The 19,937-nt window shown below is 39.5% G+C and overlaps 1 long non-coding RNA gene across 1 annotated transcript in view; it reads right to left on the bottom strand.

Annotated features, from left to right (window-relative positions):
• Window positions 1-564: 564 nt before the first annotated feature.
• Window positions 565-19,937, bottom strand: part of LOC105377401 (uncharacterized) — a 31,447-nt gene continuing 12,074 nt past the window's right edge. The window contains exons 2-3 of the long non-coding RNA XR_939166.2: window positions 4,635-4,694; window positions 565-1,807 (exon numbers count right to left, since the gene is read on the bottom strand). This is a non-coding gene — a long non-coding RNA (uncharacterized LOC105377401). The remainder of the gene's footprint in view (window positions 1,808-4,634; window positions 4,695-19,937) is intronic.

Here is a 19,937-nt window from a genome sequence, read left to right as displayed (position 1 = left end):
AGAAAACATGAGATTCGGGGTTAATGGATCATCCAATAAGCCCTAATTTGAATATATTTTTGATGCTGCAACTGTAACCATGAACACAATTTAAATAAATTTTGCTTCCAACAGAATCAGGGAAAGGAAATCGGGACTTGAACTAACTTCCTTCCTTCGTTCCTTCCTTCGTTCCTTCCTTCCTTCTTTCCTTCCTTCCTTCCTTCCTTCCTTCCTTCCTTCCTTCCTTCCTTCCTTCCTTCCTTTCCTCCTCCTCCTCCTCCTCCTCCTCCTTCTTCTTCTTCTTCTTTTTTTTTTTTTTAACAGTCTGGTTCTATTACCCAGGCTGGAGTGCAGTGTCATGATCTCGGCTCACTGCAACCTCCATCTCCTGGGCTCAAGCTATCCTCCCACCTCAGTCTCCCAAGTAGCTGGGACTACAGGTGTGCACCACCACGCCTGGCTAATTTTTGTATTTTTGTTGGTAGTGGCTGGGTTTTGCCATGTTGCCCAGGCTGGTCTCAAACTCCTGGGCTCAAGCAATCCGCCCGCCTCATCCTCCTAAAGTGCTGAGATTACAGGGACTCTAATTGTTATCACATATTTCCAGTTAGTTACAGGGAGAATGATTAGAGATCCTATGGTAAGATAAAGAACAATGTAGGCACATTTTAGGATGGAAGCAGCAGCAGTCCACCCAAAATCAAAGGTAATTCTCATCATCTCCTTGCACCATCATCATCTTCAAATATTTTGTAAAGACCATATCTTAGGTAAGCATACTAATGAAAGCAAAATCAATGCATGAGAAAAACTAATGCAGGGGTTCCCTCTGGCATAGGGGTTTAACAGGATTGATCAAAGAAGTCCAGGACATATCAGAATGTGAGAGGCAGGCTGACTGTTGGGGAACTATTGCAGTAATCTAGCTGTGAGATGCCAAGGATGTGGCTCAGAGAAAAAGGTGGGAGCAGCAACCATTGGCAGGGAGATTCTCTGGATAGAGTAAGGCACAATACTCTTAATTTGCTGTGAGTCATATGTACACACACTGTACACACTGTCTCTTTAATATTACCACATAATAAAAGAGAAATTAATTCTTAGAAAGTGACTACTGGGAATAAAACTGAAAGATGATTTCAAAAGTCCTACAGACATGTCTTATAACATACATTCTAAATAGTAGCCTGGCAACAGCATACTTCATAATAATGTTTGGCTAATACATGGGGAATAAAAAGAGATCAGGTGATTTGAGTCACTTTATCAAAACTGGGCTATTGTACTTGCTAATGAAACACAGTACAGGATTCAGTCTTCTTGCTCATTGAATTGAACAGAGCCAACCAATTCTGAGCACAAGAACACAGGGCTGCCTTTTTATACTCATTAATCAATTCTCTATTGAACTTATGTTTTGTTGTAGCTCAGGTTAAGGGAAGGGGGCTGTATCTTGGTAACTGAAAGGTGAGAATTGTATTTTGAGATTAAAATTGATCATTCTTCTTATACTCATACATTTTAGGTAGGAAGACTGCTTAGGTAGCATCTGGTACCCCTCTCATTTTTCAGACACAAAGATTTGAGGTCAAGAAAGGCTGTTCTTTCCCAAAGCCACAGCATCTGTTGGATGACAGGGACATTAGCTATGGGTGGCTCTGAGGTCCTTTGAATCCCAGGCATATCTTCTAGTCATTTCTCAGGAGCCCGTGCTAACTTTGTTCTGAAGCAGTAGTTGAGTGGCTTCCATTCTTACTCTCCTTGATTTTTGCTCTTCAAAGACTTCGAGCACATGGGACAATTCCTTGTCTCAGATTCTGGTCTTCTGTGAAAGAAGAAATATTCACTTATTCATGAATATTGTATTTATTCTATGACAGGAATAAATACCTGTTCCAGGCACTGAGCTAGCTATTGTCTAAGCCATGATGAATAAGTCAGGCATAGTCCTGCCTTCATGTAGCTTGTTATCCAGTATGGGGCACAGATGTTAAACAAACACATATTTCATTGTGTCCTATGGAAAAAAAAAGTATAAGGTGTTTTTTTGTTTGTTTGTTTTGTTTTTTTGAGGTGGAGTCTTGCTCTGTCACCCAGGCTGGAGTGAAGTGGCACGATCTAGGCTCACTGCAACCTCTGCCTCCCAGGTTCAAGAGATTCCCCTGACTCAGCCTTCCAAGTAGCTGGGATTACAGGAACTTGCCATCACGCCTGGCTAATTTTTGTATTTTTAGTAGAGACGGGGTTTCCCCACGTCGGCCAGCCTGGTCTCAAATTCCTAACTTCGGGTGATGCACCCGCCTTGGCCTCCCAAAGTGTTAGGATTACAGGTGTGAGTCACCATACCCGGCCAAAAAAGTATAGGGTATTTTCAGGGAAAAGATAGGGAAACCTAAATTAACTGGGGAGGAAGGAAGGTCTTGGAGAAATTATTCAATAGGAAAATTGTAAGTTACGTAGGAGTTGGTTAAAAAAACCAATAGAGTGAAGAGTGCTTTAGTCAGAGGGAGCAGTATGTGTGTAAGAAGCTCATGAGGCAGGGGAAGAGTCTGAAGTGTTGAAAAAGTGGCAGTGAAGCCATTTTTTTTTCTTTTCCCCAGGGCTTCACTTGGAGCTGAAAAAACAAATAAACAAACAAACAAACAAACAAAAAACTTTGAAGTAGAATAAAAGAGATGAGTGTAATTCAAAACAGTGGGTGTTTTTTGTTCTGTTTTGTTTTGTTTTTTAAAGATGAACCATTTATCAACTCAACTTCTTTGGTTAGCTTTATTCTTTTATTTAAACTCAGCCTTGTTCTCAGAAAGAGATAAGTTAAGGTCTCGTTATTAATAGAAAGACTTCACTGGATTGCAATTTTTCTGTGGTGATTGTTACCTGAAACAGAGATAAGGCTGCTTATTGACTTTGTGCCATGTGGCCTACACTGTGGATTAGTCTGACTTCTGATTTATTTTACTTCATTTTGCCTTCAATCCAAATTCTACTCAATTGCTATGAATGTTTGGATCTATATGAAAGTTGCAGTATGGAAAATGAAGTCAGAAAGCGTAGAAATTTAGGTGAAAGAAGAAAGAAACTATTATTTGATTTTTATGACAGCTTGCTTCAGAATTCTCTAAGCAACATTTATTTTCAATTTGATCTGATATTAACTAACTAGAACAGGGAAAATCGATTATGTATTTTTCTATTTATTGTTATAACTTTATTTTTCTTGGGCTGTGCTTTCCATTTCATAGAATATCCACTACATGGGAAAAACAGAGAGGTGTCCTCAAAAGAAACCTTGTCCTGGGAGCCAGAGCATAGGTCTAGCCCGAGATTCCCTTTGTCTTCTCTGAGCACAGAATCTCCAGTGATAGTCCTACTGGCTGGGGAGGGTTTCATAAAAAATGGAGGTAGGAGATTAGCCTCATTTCTTAAATTGTGTAGAATTCAGACAGAATAGAAATGGCTGGAGAAAAGTATACAACTAAGCTGACAGGTCTGTCTTAAATCAGTAATTTCGAGAGTGGCTTTTAGAGGATTCAGAAATCCTATTACATTCCCACATGAATTCACTCTCTATCTGCAAGACAAAAATTTCACACTGATTTTTCTTCCCTCGAGCCTTTACTATTTCCTATCCCCTTTATTCTTATTTAAAGCCAGGTCTTTAAATTTTTTATAAACATTTAAAACTTGTAAAACTTTAAATGAGAATTAAAAAATTGTATTATTTATTATGCAGTAGCAGCAATCAAGAGAGAACTTGTTTTTCCACCAACAACCTACCAGCCCCCACATCCATGTATTCTATATTGCAGTTAAAATGAATGAACTATTGGTGCTTCTGTCTAAAACCAATCCTCCACTTGTGCACTAGATTCCATCCACTTTGGCTACTTTGGCCTGCACAGGATGTGACTCCCATAAATATCTCCTCGTCTGTCAATATCTCTTCGGCACCATTTCTATCCTCATACGAACAGGCTGTAATTTTTCCCACTTTAAAATATCTACTCTTGACCTTAAATGTTTTCTCTACCTACTACCCACAACCTTTGCAGTTCCTCAGAGCAGTAAGGCAGTCATCATTTTGCATATTTTTAATATGCACAAATTACAGCTACCACAGTTTAGTTCAATAACACCAGTTCCTCCAAAACACAATTCAATTTTCAGTTGCTGTAGTACATTAATTGAATAATTGCATAAAATACAAACTTGGCTGTTAGCCCTTCAGTTTAGAAATCATTACATAAATAACAAATGCACATCATGGCCAGTGACCAAATATGTCACTTCTTTCAAAGTCTGTTGGTGATTGGGCACTGGGCATCTGTGTTGACATACAGACAGCAAAGCATGTAGTTGTGTTGCCTTCTTGCTTTCGTGCTTCTCTGACATCATCTCCTACCATTTCTTCATTTGATAACTGAACTATGGTCATGCTGACCTGTCTGCTCTGTGAATGTGCCAAGTACCTGCTGTCTCAGCGTCTGCATAGGCAGAATACGTTAACAAACAGCTCTAAAATGTCAATGTCAATGGCATTTAAACACAATGAAAGTTTATTTCTCATGAAGTTCATAGTCTATTGAGGTTTGATAGTGGTGGGAAGTGGGGAGCACTGGCATTGTTCCTGTCATTTTGACAGAGGCTCCTACCTTCCTTTTGCTCCTTTCTTCACTCCTTGTCCCCAGATCCTTTGAAACTTCTCCAGTCAGCTCATGGACAGAGAAAAAGGAAGGGCATTGAATATTGTGAAAGAAGTTTATGTATGACATTTCATACATCAGAAACTGATCTGATAGCCCCACTAACTGCAGGGGAGGCTGGAAATGTAAATCAAATGTGTGCCAAGAGGAAATGTCTAGTTAAAGCACTACTGTATTTTTAGTTCTTCACATAGTGCTAGGCACATAGTAGACCCCAAATAAATATTTGCAGGATGAGTAAGTGAATGAATGAATTCATTTGGAAACAGTGGCAAGGGTGAACCTTTAGTTAGATACTGCAATGAGCCCTGATGCTGTCAATTGAATTGGAGCAAGATATTGGTAATATCTTGCTTTATTATATTTAAACATGAAATGGATTCTCTTAATTTAAAGGACCTTCTGTTACCATAAAATAAAAAGCTCATATTGCCAAGCATTTTTCAATCTCCTACACCGAGTGGATTCTTTTTAAAGTTGAGAAGTTGGCCATGAAGAAAGGCAGAAGACCTTATATTGCTCCTTCATTCTGATCTTTCTACTCCCCTAACTTCCATGTATTTTGTTGCATCAGATACAATAACAAAAACTAATGTAATTTTTATTTATGCAAAATCTTAGAGGGAGGTGTGGTCACAGTGTCATTGGATACATATTGTTCAACCAACGTTTTACACATGTACATCATCGTACACTAATACACAAATACCATGTCACACACACCTAATTCAGGCTGCTATAATCCATCCTGAGCAATTAGCTTTGTTAACAGAGCAAATTTGGTGCAAGTAAATGAGGAGTACATCCAATTATTTTTCAGGGCTTTTTAGTAAATTCCAAGATGTTTTCAAAAGTTTCTTTTCCTAGTTATCACTGAATACTCCATTTTATTAATTGGCTTCCTGCAAGGTCCACAGTGTTTTATGTTGGTAGGGCTACCCTATTGGACATCATATGTTCTTTCTTCAGTGTGATTTTAAAACTTAGGCTTTCAGAAGTCTCATATAAATTTTTGTTCCTTGTATGCTCCTCCATATCCTCTCCTTTTTATCTCTACTATTACTAGCTTGGTTTAGGGCTTTATCTTCTCTCTCTTGGATTTCTGTAGTTCCCTTGTAACTTATTGGTCTCTGTGCCCCCAGTGTGTTCCACTTCCAATTCATTCTTCTTCCAGCTACCAGAGTTGTGTTTTTTAAATGCAAATAAAGATTAAGTGCAGTCAAATAATGAAATTTTTGACATTTTAAATAGAAATAAAAATGCTGGATAAGAAATCAAAAGACACAGGACTATTTCTGTTTTATTTTTTGTACCTAGTAACAGAACCCCAAGTTTTAGGTGGGCACTTTTTTATTTATCTGGAATAAAAATATATCTCATCCTTCTTTGTAGCTAGGAGTGGCCATTGGTTAAATCTGGGCCAAAACATTGTAAATGGAAAAGCTCTGTGGTGCATCAGGAAAGGTCATTTAAAGGAATTTCACTCCTTTCTCCTCCTGCTGCTAATCCAGCATGTGTCCATCCATCTTGGGCCATAAGGTGACTTTTAGGGTAGAAGCTAAGTGCTAAGGATAGTAGAAGAGAAAAATAGGAGCCTGGTTCCCTGAAGTCACTGTAAAATCACCACACCACCTTTGGAGTTATTTATATAATGGAGAATTGACATTGTTTTGTTGTTTGTTGATTTTTTCCCCTGCTATATGCAGACAAACCTAATATTAACCAGTTCAGCATGGAATGAATAACATGAGTTTTAAGTTGTTTGAGTCTAAGGCGATGGCTGAAAGTCCTGCCAGAGTTGTCTTATAAGTAGTTGGAATGATGGGACTGGCAGTCAGGTAAGAAATGTACAGAATCATCTATTTGGCAAATGTCTCTTGAGCTTCTCCTATGTGTCAGGCACTGTGTTGGGTCCTAAAAGTAAAAATATTAATACTACTAAATTACCTATTTCCTACCCACTAGTAGCTTCTAGTTTAGGAGAAATATAGCTATCTAAAGATACTTGCATTGCATTACGATAGGTGATTAAATAAGGGACAAGGAAGATAAAATTGATTTTATTTAGGAAGTTAGTGAAGACTCATAATGTCATCATCCACCTCATGTTGTAAAATCATTTGGACATTTAAAAGTCTACATCTCAATTGACCTCTCAATAGCATTTAACATAGTTGATGGGGGAAGATTACATTTTTCAAAAATGGCTACAATGGTATGACCCCTACCACATGCTCTCCTACAATTTTGCCACTTCCCTGTGAGTGGTAGAATCTAGATCTTTTCTTCTTGAATCTGAGTACACTTAGAACTTGCCTATAACAGAATATATTAGAAGTGATGCTGCCTGACTTTTCATGCTAGGTCACAAAAGGCAATACAGCTTCTGTCTTGTTAGTTGAGACATTTGGTGTAGAGTCCTAATATTCCATTAAGAAAACAAACTAACTGAGGGCTGTAGGCTGTGAGGAAGCTGAGCCCCATGGAGGGGACACATACAGATGTTTTGTCATCAAGTCTTGTCTTTGAGTCCTCTCAGCCCAGGCATGGGACATGTTAGAGGATGAACTTCAGATGATTCCAACTAGCCAGCGCTTAGACATCTCGTTACCCTAGTCTTGAAGTCTTTCCAGCAGAGGCCCAGATAGTGTGCAGATAAGCCAGTTTAGCTGGGCTCTTTCTGAATTCCTGACCTACAGACTCCATGCTTATAATAAAATAGCTATTGTTTAAGGCCACTAAGTTTATGGTGGTGTGTGACATGTAATAGTTGACTATTCTTGACTTTACTCCTATCTTTTTAGTACCTGGTTTTTGGTCTCCTTTGCTGAATCCTTTTCTAAGCCTCTAATTGAGGAGTACCCCAGACCTCAACCTTTGGTGCTCTTCTCTATCTCACTTACTCCTTAGGTGATTTTTCCTGTTCCCTTTGCTACGAATCCTATTTATATTCTGAGAAACCCAAATCTATGTCTTCAGGTCAGATGTCCCCTTTTAGCTACTGGCTGTTTTTAGTCTCTTTTCTTTTCTTTTTACTTTTCTTTTCTTTTTTCTTTTCTTTTCTTTCTGCCTTGCCTTGCCTTGCCTTGCCCTGCCTTGCCCTGCCCTGCCCTGCCCTGCCTTCCTTTCCTTTCCTTTCCTTTCCTTTCCTTTCCTTTCCTTTCCTTTCCTTTCCTTTCCTTTCCTTTCCTTTCCTTTCTTTTCCTTTTTCTTTTCTTTTCTTTCTTTCTTTTTTGACTTAGTTTCACTCTTGTTACCCAGGCTGGAGTGTAGTGGCGCCATCTCAGCTGACTGCAACCTCCGCCTCCTGGATTCAAGCGATTCTCCTTCCTCAGCTTCCCCAGTAGCTGAGATTACAGGTGCCTGCCATCATGCCCAGCTAATTTTTGTATTTTTAGTAGAGACGGGGTTTCACCATGTTGCCCAGGCTAGTCTCAAACTCCTGACCTCAGGTGAGCTACCCGCCTCAGCCTCCCAAAGTGCAGGGATTACAGGCGTGAGCCACCATGCCCAGCCTGTTTTTGGTTTCAACTGCTTACTTGATATCTTGGTATAACTTGGATGTATATCATTATGTATTATATATTGTGGGGATGAACACATGTTGGACATCTCGAACATGATGTGCCCAAAACTTACATATTGAATTTTTGCCTTAAAATTATCCCAATTTCCCACTATCTTAGTAAATGTTACTTTCACCTATCTGCTTGTTCAATCTAGAGACAAAATTATTCTAGAGTCTTCCTTCTTTTTCATTCTTCACATCTGATGCAATCCAAAATTTTATCAATTCTATTCATAAGTCTGTCTACTGCTCCACTAATACCATCATCATCCTGGTTCAAGCCAACAAAAGTTCATTGATTTGGTATTGGTGCTTTGAGCTCTACTCTATTTCCTTTAACTCCATATTTGTGGCAAATCACACACACATCTCTCTGACCCCCACCTCCATCCCCTGCTTCCTCATTTGCAGACTGCCAGTATTTAAGCCAGGGTAAGACTTCCCTATTCTGCTGGATGGCAGAAGAATTCTCTGCTCAAGAATCTGACCCAGTAGTGAATGCAGGCAAACAATTTGTCACCTTAATAGCTTTTAATTTTAGGGAGGGAACTCTTTATCAAAAAATATCTTGATAAGCTGCTTGGGGTTAGAAGTGAGACCTAAAAAAACCAGATGTTGCATGTGCCAGGACAATTAAAGGAGTTGGGTAAACTGCTCTGTCTAAAGCATAGAGAGAAGTTTACTTTGCTGCTGGGGAAGAAAGTGAAAGAGAGAAGAAAGCAGAGAAGATAGGTGAGGATGGAGGAGCCAGGAGACGGTTTGGGGCTGGGCCTATTTGTATAGAACATTTGGAAGATCTCTAAAACAATTCTTAGAAGAGTAAAAGTATGTGAGAGTGGTTAAAAACTCAATGCACAGATACCTGTGAACTAATCAGAGGAACAGAGAGATTCCAGAGTCAGAGGAGCCACCCTCCATGTCTGCATATGTTCTGAGGGACTAACACTCCCTTCCCTGGTGTTGAGAACACTGTGCACTAAGTTCCTTGGCCAACCCAGGCTAGGGGTTGGGGGTGATTATTGAGATGGGAGTTTTGTGATCATCTTAGATGCCTGCAATGACATGCCTTTAGGTGACTTCTCTGGAAAAATAACTATGAAGTTCCAGCAACAAGCAACGAATTCAATATTAGCTTGAGAAGATTCATTTGATCATCTTCACTGTTTTTTTTTTCTTTTTTTTGAGACAGTCTCACTCTGTCACCCAGGCTGGAGTGCAGTGCTACAATCTTGGCTCACTGCAACCTCCACCTCCCAGGCTCAAGCAATTCTCTTGCCTCAGCCTCCCGAGTAGCTGCGATCACAGGTGCGTACCACCATGCCCAGCTAATTTTTGTATTTTTAGTAGAGACAGGGTTTCACTATGTTCACCAGGCTGGTCTCAAACTCCTGACCTCAAATGATCCATCTGCCCCGGCCTCCCAAAGTGCTGGGGTTACAGGCATGACCCACTGTGCCCAGCCTATCTTCACTGTTTTTATGTCAAGTGACTCTCAAGAGTAGGTAGCCACATCTCTCTTAAGTCCCAATCCCAGGGGCCCAAGTATTGGGTGGAAGGGAAAAGAATGGCTAAAGTGTATTGCCATTTTGAATGTTGCTCTGATAAATGGTTTCTTCTAAGAGTGTTGGTATAAGGAGTGCTTAATTTTGTCAGCCAAGTACAGAGTGGAAGGAAATTTGAAATGCTGGTGAGTATTGACAGCTGTCATATTTTATTGGGCCATTGAACTGAGCTTGCTATTACAGCATGAAATTGGCAATTTTTTTGTGTGTGTGTTATATTTTAAGTTCTGAGATACATGTGCAGAATGTGCAGGTTTGTTACATAGGTATACATGTGTCATGGTGTTTTGTTGCACCCATCAACCCATCATCTACATTAGATATTTCTCCTAATGTTATTCCTCCCCTAGCCCCCCACCCCCTGACAGGCCCAGTGTGTGATGTTTCCCTCCCTGTGTCCATGTGTTCTCATTTTTCAACTCCCACTTATGAGTGAGAACATGCGGTGTTTGGTTTTCTGCTCTTGTGTTAGTTTGCTGAGAATGATGGTTTCCAGCATCATCCATGTCCCTGCTAAGAACATGAACTCATCCTTCTTTATGGCTGCATAGTATTCCATGGTGTATATGTGCCACATTTTCTTTATACAGTCTATCATTAATGGGCATTTGGGTTGGTTACAAGTCTTTGCTATTGTGAACAGTGCTGCAATAAACATATGCATGCACATGTATTTATAGTAGAATGATTTATAACCCTTTGGGTATATACCCAGTAATGGGATTGCTGGGTCAAATGGTATTTCAAGTTCTAGATCCTTGAGGAATCGCCACACTGTCTTCCACAATGGTTGAAGTAATTTACAGTCCTACAAACAGTCTAAAAGCATTCCTATTTCTCCACAACCTCTCCAGCATCTGTTGTTTCCTGACTTTTTAATGATCGCCATTCTAACTGGAGTGAGATGGTATCTCTTTGTGGTTTTGATTTGCATTTCTCTAATGACCAGTGGTGAGCTTTTTTTCATATGTTTGTTGGCTGCAGAAATGTCTTCTTTTGAGAAGTGTCTGTTCATATCCTTTGCTCATTTTTTGATGGGGTTGTTTGTTTTGTTCTTGTAAATTTGTTTAAGTTCTTTGTAGATTCTGGATATTAGCCCTTTGTCAGATGGATAGATTGCAAAATGTTCTCCCATTCTGTAGGTTGCCTGTTCACTCTGATGATAGTTTCTTTTGCTGTGCAGAAGCTCTTTAGTTTAATTAGGTCCCATTTGTCAATTTTGGCTTTTGTTGCCATTGCTTTTGGATTTTTTTAGTCATGAAGCCTTTGCCCATGCCTATGTCCTGAATGGTATTGCCTAGGTTTTCTTCTAGGATTTTTATGGTTTTGGGTTTTACACTTAAGTCTTTAATCCATCTTGAGTTGATTTTTGTACAAGGTGTAGGGAAGGGATCCAGTTTCAGTTTTCTGCATATGGCTAGCCACTTTTCCCAACACCATTTATTAAACAGGGAATCTTTTCCCCATGTCTTGTTTTTGTCAGGTTTTTCAAAGCTCAGATGGTTGTAGATGTGTTGTGTTATTTCTGAGGCCTCTGTTCTGTTCCATTGGTCGATATATTTGTTTTGGTACCAGTACCATGCTCTTTTGGTTACTGTAGCCTTGTAGTGTAGTTTGAAGTCTGGTAGCGTGATGCCTCCAGCTTTGTTCTTTTGGCTTAGGATTGTCTTGGCTATACAGGCTCTTTTTTGGCTCCATATTAAATATACAGTAGTTTTTTCTAATTCTGTGAAGAAAGTCAATGGTGGCCTGATGGGGATAGCATTGAATCTATAAATTATTTTGGGCAGTATTGTCATTTTCATGATATTGATTCTTCTATCCATGAGCATGAAATGTTCTTCCATTTGTTTGTGTCCTCTCTTATTTCCTTGAGCAGTGGTTTGTAGTTCTCCTTGAAGAGGTCCCTCACATCCCTTGTAACTTGTATTCCTAGGTATTTTATTCCTTTTGTAGCAATTGTGAATGGGAGTTCACTCATGATTTGGCTCTCTGTTTGTCTATTATTGGTGTTCAGGAATGCTTGTGATTTTTGCGTATTGATTTTGTATCCTGAAACTTTGCTGAAGTTGCTTATCAGCTTAAGGGGATTTTGGGCTGAGACAATGGGGCTTTCTAAATACACAATCATGGCATCTGCAAACAGAGACAATTTGACTTCCTGTCTTCCTATTTGAATACCCTTTATTTCTTTCTCTTGCCTGATTGCCCTGGCCAGAACTTCCAATACTACATTGAATAGGAGTGGTGAGAGAGGGCCTCCTTGTCTTGTGCTGGTTTTCGATGGGAATGCTTCCAGCTTTTGCCCATTCCGTGTAATATTGGCTGTGGGTTTGTCATAAATAGCTCCTATTATTTTGAGATACGTTCCATCAGTACCTAGTTTTTTGAGAGTTTTTAGTAAGAAGGGGTGTTGAATTTTATCAAAGGCCTTTACTGCATCTATTGAGATAATCATGTGGTTTTTGGCATTGGTTCTGTTTATGTGATGGATTACATTTATTGATTTGCATATGTTGAACCAGGCTTGCAGCTCAGGGATGAAGTCGACTTGATAGTGGTGGATAAGCTTTCTGATGTGCTGCTGGATTCGGTTTGCCAGTATTTTAATGAGGATTTTCGCATTGATGTTCATCAGGGATATTGGCCTGAAATTTTCTTTTTTTGTTGTGTCTCTGCCAGGTTTTGGTATCAGGATGATGCTGGCCTCATGAAATGAGTTAGCGAGGAGTACCTCTTTTTCTATTGATTGAATTAGTTTCAGAATGAATGGCACCAGCTCCTCTTTGTACCTCTGGTAGAATTCAGCTGTGAATCCGTCTGGTCCTAGGCTTTTTTTTTTTTTTTTGGTTGGTAGGCTTTTAATTACTGCCTCAATTCAAAGCTTGTTATTGATCTATTCAGGGATTCAACTTCTTCCTGATTTAGTCTTGGGAGGGTATATGTGTCCAAGAATTTATCCATTTCTTCTAGATTGTCTAGTTTATTTGCACAGAGGTGTTTATAGTATTCTCTGATGGTAGTTTGTATTTCTGTGGGATCAGTGGTGATATCCCCATTATCATTTTTTATTGCATCTACTTGATTCTTTAGTTTTCTTCTCTATTAGTCTGGCTAGCAGCCTATCTATTTTGTTGATCTTTTAAAAAACCAGCTCCTGTGTTCATTGATTTTTTTTGAAGGGTCTTTCATGTCTCTATCTCCTTCAGTTCTGCTCTGATCTTAGTTATTTCTTGTCTTCTGCTAGCTTTTCAATTTGTTTGCTCTGCCTTCTCTAGTTCTTTTAATTGTGATGTTAGGGTGTCAATTTTAGATCTTTCCTGCTTTGTCCTGTGGGGATTTAGTGCTATAAATTTCCCTCTACATACTGCTTTAAATGTGTCCCAGAGATTCTGGTACGTTGTGTCTTTGTTCTCATCGGTTTCAAAGAACTTCTTTATTTCTGCCTTAATTTTGTTATTTACCCAGCAGTCATTCAGGAGCAGGTTGTTCAGATTCCAGGTAGTCATGCGGTTTTGAGTGAGTTTCTTAATCCTGAGTTCTAATTTGATTGCACTGTGGTCTGAGAGAGTGTTTGTTACGATTTCTGTTCTTTTGCATTTGTTGAGGAGTGTTTTACTTCCAATGATGTGGTCAATTTTAGAATAAGTGCTATGTGGTATTGAAAAGCATGTATATTCTATCGATTTGGGGTGGATAGTTCTGTAGATGTCTACTAGGTCTGCTTGGTCCAGAGCTGAGCTCAAGTCCTGAATATCCTTGTTAATTTTCTGTCTCGTTGATCTGTCTAATACTGACAGTGGGGTGTTAAAGTCTCCCATTATTATTGTGTGGGAGTCTAAGTCTCTTTGTAGGTCTCTAAGAATTTGCTTTATGAATCTGGGTGCTCCTGTATTGGGTGCATATATTTTTAGGATAGTTAGCTCTTCTTGTTGCATTGATCCCTTTACCATCATGTAATGCCATTCTTTTCTGTTCTGATATTTGTTGGTTTAAACTCTGTTTTATCAGAGACTAGGATTGCAATCCCTGCTTTTTTTTGCTTTCCATTTGCTTGGTAAATCTTCCTCCATCCCTTTATTTTGAGCCTATGTGTGTCTTTGCATGTGAGATGGGTCTCCTGAATACAGCGCACTGATGGGTCTTGACTCTATCCAATTTGCCAGTCTGTATCTTTTAATTGGGGCATTTAGCCCATTTACTTTTAAGGTTAATATTCTTATGTGTGAATTTGATCCTTTGTGTCATTATGATGCTAGCTGGTTATTTTGTACATTAGTTGATGCAGTTTCTTCATAGTGTCAATGGTCTTCACAATTTGGTATGTTTTTGCAGTGGTTGGTACAGATTTTTCCTTTCGATGTTTAGTGCTTCCTTCAGGAGCTCTTGTAAGGCAGGCCTGGTGGTAATAAAATCTCTCAGCATTTACTTGTCTGTAAAATATTTCATTTCTCTTTCACTTACGAAGCTTAGTTTGGCTGGAAATGAAATTCTGGGTTGAAAATTCTTTTCTTTAAGAATGTTGAGTATTGGCCCCCACTATCTTCTGTCTTGTAGGGTTTCTGCAGAGAGATCTGCTGTTAGTCTGATGGGCTTCCCTTTGTGGGTAACCTGACCTTTCTCTCTGGCTGCCCTTAACAGTTTTTCCTTCATTTCAACCTTGATGAATCTGACAATTATGTGTCTTTGGGTTGCTCTTTTCGAGGGATATCTTTGTGGTGTTGTCTGTGTTTCTTAAATTTGAATGTTGGCCTGCCTTGCTAGGTTGGGGAAGTTCTCCTGGATAATATCCTAAAGAGTGTTTTCCAACTTGGTTCCATTCTCCCTGTTATCTTCTGGTACACCAATCAAACATAGATTTGGTCTTTTCACATAGTTCCATATTTCTTGGAGGCTTTGGTCATTTCCTTTCACTCTTTTTTCTCTAATCTTGTCTTCTCACTTTATTTCATTGAGTTGATCTTCAATCTCTGATATCCTTTCTTCCACTTGATTGATTCAGCTATTGATACTTGTGTATGCTTCATGAAGTTCTTGTGCTGTGTTTTTCAGCTCTATCAGGTCATTTATGTTCTTCTCTAAACTGGTTATTCTAGTTAGCAGTTTGTCTAATCTTTTTTCAAGGTTCTTAGCTTCCTTGCATTGGGTTAGAACATGCTCCTTTAGCTTGGAGGAGTTTGTTATTACCCACCTTCTGAAGCCTACTTCTGTCAATTTGTCAAACTCATTCTCCATCCAGTTTTGCTCCCTTGCTAGTGAGGAGTTGTGATCCTTTGGAAGAGAAGAAGCGTTCTGGTTTTCGGAGTTTTCAGCCTTTTTGTGCTGGTTTCTCCCCATCTTCGTGGATTTATCTACCTTTGGTCTTTGATATTGGTTACCTTCGGATGGGCTCTCTGAGTGGACATTCTTTTTATTGATGTTGCTGCTATTCCTTTCTGTTTGTTAGTTTTCCTTCTAACAGTCAGGACCCTCAGCTGCAGGTCTGCTGGAGTTTGCTGGAGGTCCACTCCAGACCCTGTTTGCCTGGGTATCACCAGTGGAGGCTGCAGAACAGCAAAAATTGCTGTCTGTTCCTTCCTCTGGAAACTTCGTCCCAGAGGGGTACCCACCAGATGCCAGTGGGAGCTTTCCTGTATGAGGTGTGTGTCGGCCCCTACTGGGAGGTATCTCCCAGTCAGGATACATGGGGGTGAGGGACCGACTTGAGGAGGCAGCCTGTCCCTTATCAGAGCTCAAACACTGTGCTGGGAGATCTGCTGCACTCTTAAGAGCTGTCAGACAGGGACACTTAAGTCTGCTGAAGCTGGGCCCACAGCCGCCCCTTCCCCAGGTGCTCTGTCTCAGGGAGATGGGGGTTTTAACTATAAGTCCCTGACTGTGGCTGCTGCCTTTTTTTCAGAGATGCCCTGACTAGAGAGGCAGTCTGGCCACAGTGGCCTTGCTGAGTGCAGTGGATTCTGTCCCGTTCAAACTTCCTGGTGGCTTTGTTTATCCGTGAGGGTAAAACCGCCTACTGAAGCCTCAGCAATGGTGGACGCCCCTCCCCCCACCAAGCTCAAGCATCCCACGTCGACCTTAGACTGCTGTGCTAGCAGCGAGAATTTCAAGCCAGGGATCTTAGCTTGCTGGGCTCCATGGGGGTGGGACACACCGAGCCAGGCACCAGAGAGAATCTCCTGGTTTGCTGGTTGTGAAGACCATGGGAAAAGTGCAGTATCTGGGCCAGAGTGCACTGTTCCTCCCAGTACAGTCTCTCACAGCTTCCCCTGGCTAGGAACAGGAAGTTCCCCGACAACTTGCGCATCCCCAGTCGCCCTCCATGGGCTGCACCCACTGTCCAACCAGTCTCAATGAGACGGACCGGGTGTCTCAGTTGGAAATGCAGAAATCACCCGCCTTCTGCATCAATCTCGCTGGGAGCTGCAGACCAGAGCTGTTCCTATTCAGCCATCTTGCCAGCAATTCCTAAATTTCTCTTTTTATAAAGATACAAGTTGTACTAGATTAGGGCCTACCCTAATGAACTTATCTTAACTTGATTACCTCTGTGAATATCCTATCTCCAAGTATGGCCCAAATAACTCTCCAAACTCTCCAAATAATTCAACTCATAATGATGGGTGACCTTACTAGCAAAGAAACCAGATGGAGTTCTCCCTGTAGTTGAAGAACCAATTTCATTTTCAGCTAAACAAATAGGTTATCACTGAAGAGAGGAGAACCTGCATTAGCATCAGTTTACCTAAGGGAATGATGTTTTCAAGATTCAGAGAGGAGATGAAGTAAAGAATAAATGCAGAACTTTTTCTTCCTGTGGTAATGTTGGGGTTTCCTCAGAATAAGTACAGAGAATTGGTCAAATGACTTGAAAAGAGGAAATTAAAGGGAAATAGGGGAAAGAGAGGGCTTAGGAAGAGAGAGAACAGCCACATGAGATACCTCCTCTTAAGTCCTGCATGCTATAAAGGAGGAAGTTAGGTAAAGTTTTACCCTCCTTTACCCTAGCTCTGTGTGATTTTGCTTTTCAGAGATGCAGTGGTCCTTTGTTAAATTATTTTGTGCACCTTCTTCATAGTACTGTGTGTGCTAGCCTGGGAAAGACAAAAAGCAGACCTGCAGGGCCTTGCAGTCATCTTACAGAGACTTCACAGGACACAGGCTCCCTTCCTCCACCTTTCTCTTTTTACTTGGAATCACCATGGGGCTATCAGCATAGTGGGGAGAACCACATGCCACCAGTGCAAAGCAGAGACAATAAGACTGAGCCCCATTGTGGAGATCACAAACCACCTTGGATGACAGAAAAGGAGGTGTCCTTCCCAATGTGATAAGTCTTCAAAACTATCCTCAGGTGAATGTTCAAATATTCTGTGGATTCCACTGAAGAATGATTAATAACCTTTCTCCAAGGTGAGACAATTTCTAAACCTTGATTTTTCAACTTCAGATGAAACTTGAACCTTTTGAAGGTTGTCATGCTTTCTCTAGGGACAGGAAATGAGGTGAGGAAGTTTTTAAAACATCCATTACAAAAAATTCTAGAGATCAGAAAGCTTTCATGAAACAATATTTTGATGACTTAAATGCAAGTGAATTAGAAGCTTTTAGTTTGAAAAAAATTTTCAATTTCAAAAACTAAATAGAAAAGATAATTTGGAATGTGAGAGAAAAGATAATATAGGTTAGAGTAGATGTAAATGATTCAGATATAACTTGCATTTGTATATTTTGTATTTCTCCATATGTTTCCCTTGTGTTTTTCAGGAATCATCATTTGCTTTATTATTTTTTTCCTCAATTTAAAATAAAATACTTTGTGGCCGAGTGCAGTGGCTCATGCCTATAATCCCAGCAGTTTGGGAGGCTGAGGCAGGTGGATCACCTGAGGTCAGAAGTTCGAGATCAGCCTGACCAACATGGTGAAACCCCGTCTGTACTAAAAATACAAAAATTAGCTGGGCGTGGTGGCACGTGCCTGTAATCCCAGCTACTCGGGAGGCTGAGGCAGGAGAATCATTTGAACCTGGGAGATGGAGTGAGCTGAGATTATGCCACTGCACTCCAGCCTGGGTGACAAAGCAAGATTTCATTTCAAAAAATAAAAAAATAAAAAATTATAAAATAAAATATTTTGTGCTTGGTGTGTGTATTGTATGTATGTATGCATGCATGTATTTATGTGTATTTTTAAGATGAAATTCATCAAGGACTTTGAAAAACTTTAATTATTTTGTTTCTGCATCTGGCCACTGTACAAATACTACAGAGTGAATTCACAATCAGCATCTTTGCTTTCAAGAGTCAAAAGACTGAAAACATGCAAAACAAACAGAATCAAAATACAACATAGAAAAAGTAAAAAAGGAATTCTAAACATATTCCATCCGCTTCTCTGGCCTGCACATAAAAGACTACTCAGCAGAGGAATTTCTTGAGAGGAAGAAGTATGTTTACTCATTTTTTTTTGCATCGTTGGCCCCTAGCAGAGTGCTTGGAATGAGTGCAGAAAGTATTTCTTAAGTGAGTCAAAACCCTTGATAGCACGGGACACCATTAGACGCCACTCCAAAATAGACCCTTTTGGCATAAGGATTGTTTTGAGCTGAAGGTAATAAAGAAGCAGATGCAGGAAAGCTCTCTGCTCTCCGTCTATTTGCCTAACAGGGCATAAATTTACAAAGGCAAAAGGTATCCCTCTACTCCTGCCTACTACCAGGTATAGTTTATTTGCCTTTGCACAAGTTGCTGCCCCTGAAGACTCAAAGTTATTTTCCTTTGTCTTGTGATCTCTTTAAAAATTTGTAGTTTTTTTACTGAAGATGTTGTATAAGCTGAAATTCAAGGCTACTTTTTTGAGAAGTATTCATTCCCTGGGCCTCTCCATGTATGTATTAAATAAATGTGTTAGTAAATTTCTGTTTGTTTTTCTCTTGATAATCTGTCTTTTGTTACAGGGGTCTGTTACAACTAAGGACTCATGAAGGTGGAGGAAAAAAAATGTTTTTTCTCCCTTATAGTTCTTCTGCACAAGATGGACCTCAGAGACAGTTTGTGTTTGACTGTGCTTTCCCCTTCAGAAGTTGAGCTGGGACACTGGCTCAATTAGTGTTGGTTTCAGAATTGGAATGAAGAATGAAAAGTCTCTTCTCTTCTTAGGAAATAATTTTTCCTTTGTGCAGAAATGTAGAAATGAGCACATTCATACCAAGATTAAAAGTGCAACCCCAAGGCAAGGGACAATGGTGATGAGTGAATAACGGGAAGAGATGCAGTAAGGGAAGAGTGCTTTCAAAAAGAATGGTGCCAAGAACAGTGGAAGAGGGAACTTTTGTACTTTTATGAAAGTAATTACCATTCATCAAACTCCTCACAGTGGCAGACAAATGAATTTAATAATGAATTTAATAGTTATAAACTCACTTTTATGAATCTATCAAATACATTATATCACATAACCTTTCTACTCTATCTTATAATAATACAGTGCCTTTTTCTGTGTTTAAAAAGTTTGTATCTTAGCAAGATTCATGAAGAAGCAATTCTATATCTGTTTTAAAATTTATGTTGTTCTGTTGAACACTGTTATAAAATAAAACTTGTGTTATACCTGTAAATTATTGTATTAAAGCAGTACAGGAGAGTGATCAAGGCCAATAGCTTTGGAGACAGTTCTTGGTCCCAGCTCTAACATTAACTAGCTGTGTGATCCTGAGCAATTGTCTTACACCTCTGCTGCTCAGTTTTCTCACTTATTAAATGCAAATAATAACGTTACTTTATAAATTTATAGATTGAGAGTTTTAAATGTGTGCAAGCATATTAATGATATCAATAAATTGCCTTTGATTATTATTATGAAAATAAATAATAAATGGTCAATAAATTGCCATTGATTATTATTGTGAAAATAAATATTAATAAATGATCAATAAATTGCCATTGATTATTATTATGAAAACAAATTAAGGTTGAAAAGTTTGGTACAGCATTTAAATTTTCACTATTAAACAAAGAGAAGTGAAAACAAGTGAATAAAATTAAGATATTAGCCCATTATTACTTGTTGCACTCTGTTAAGTACTATGAGGGATAAAAGAATGCAAAAGAGGCATAAGGAATGAT

The sequence above is a fragment of the Homo sapiens genome, chromosome 4, assembly GCF_000001405.40.
Source record: "Homo sapiens chromosome 4, GRCh38.p14 Primary Assembly".
Classification (NCBI taxonomy): domain Eukaryota; kingdom Metazoa; phylum Chordata; class Mammalia; order Primates; family Hominidae; genus Homo; species Homo sapiens.
Note: the sequence above shows the minus strand (reverse complement) of the source record. Positions and strands in the feature narration are given on the sequence as shown.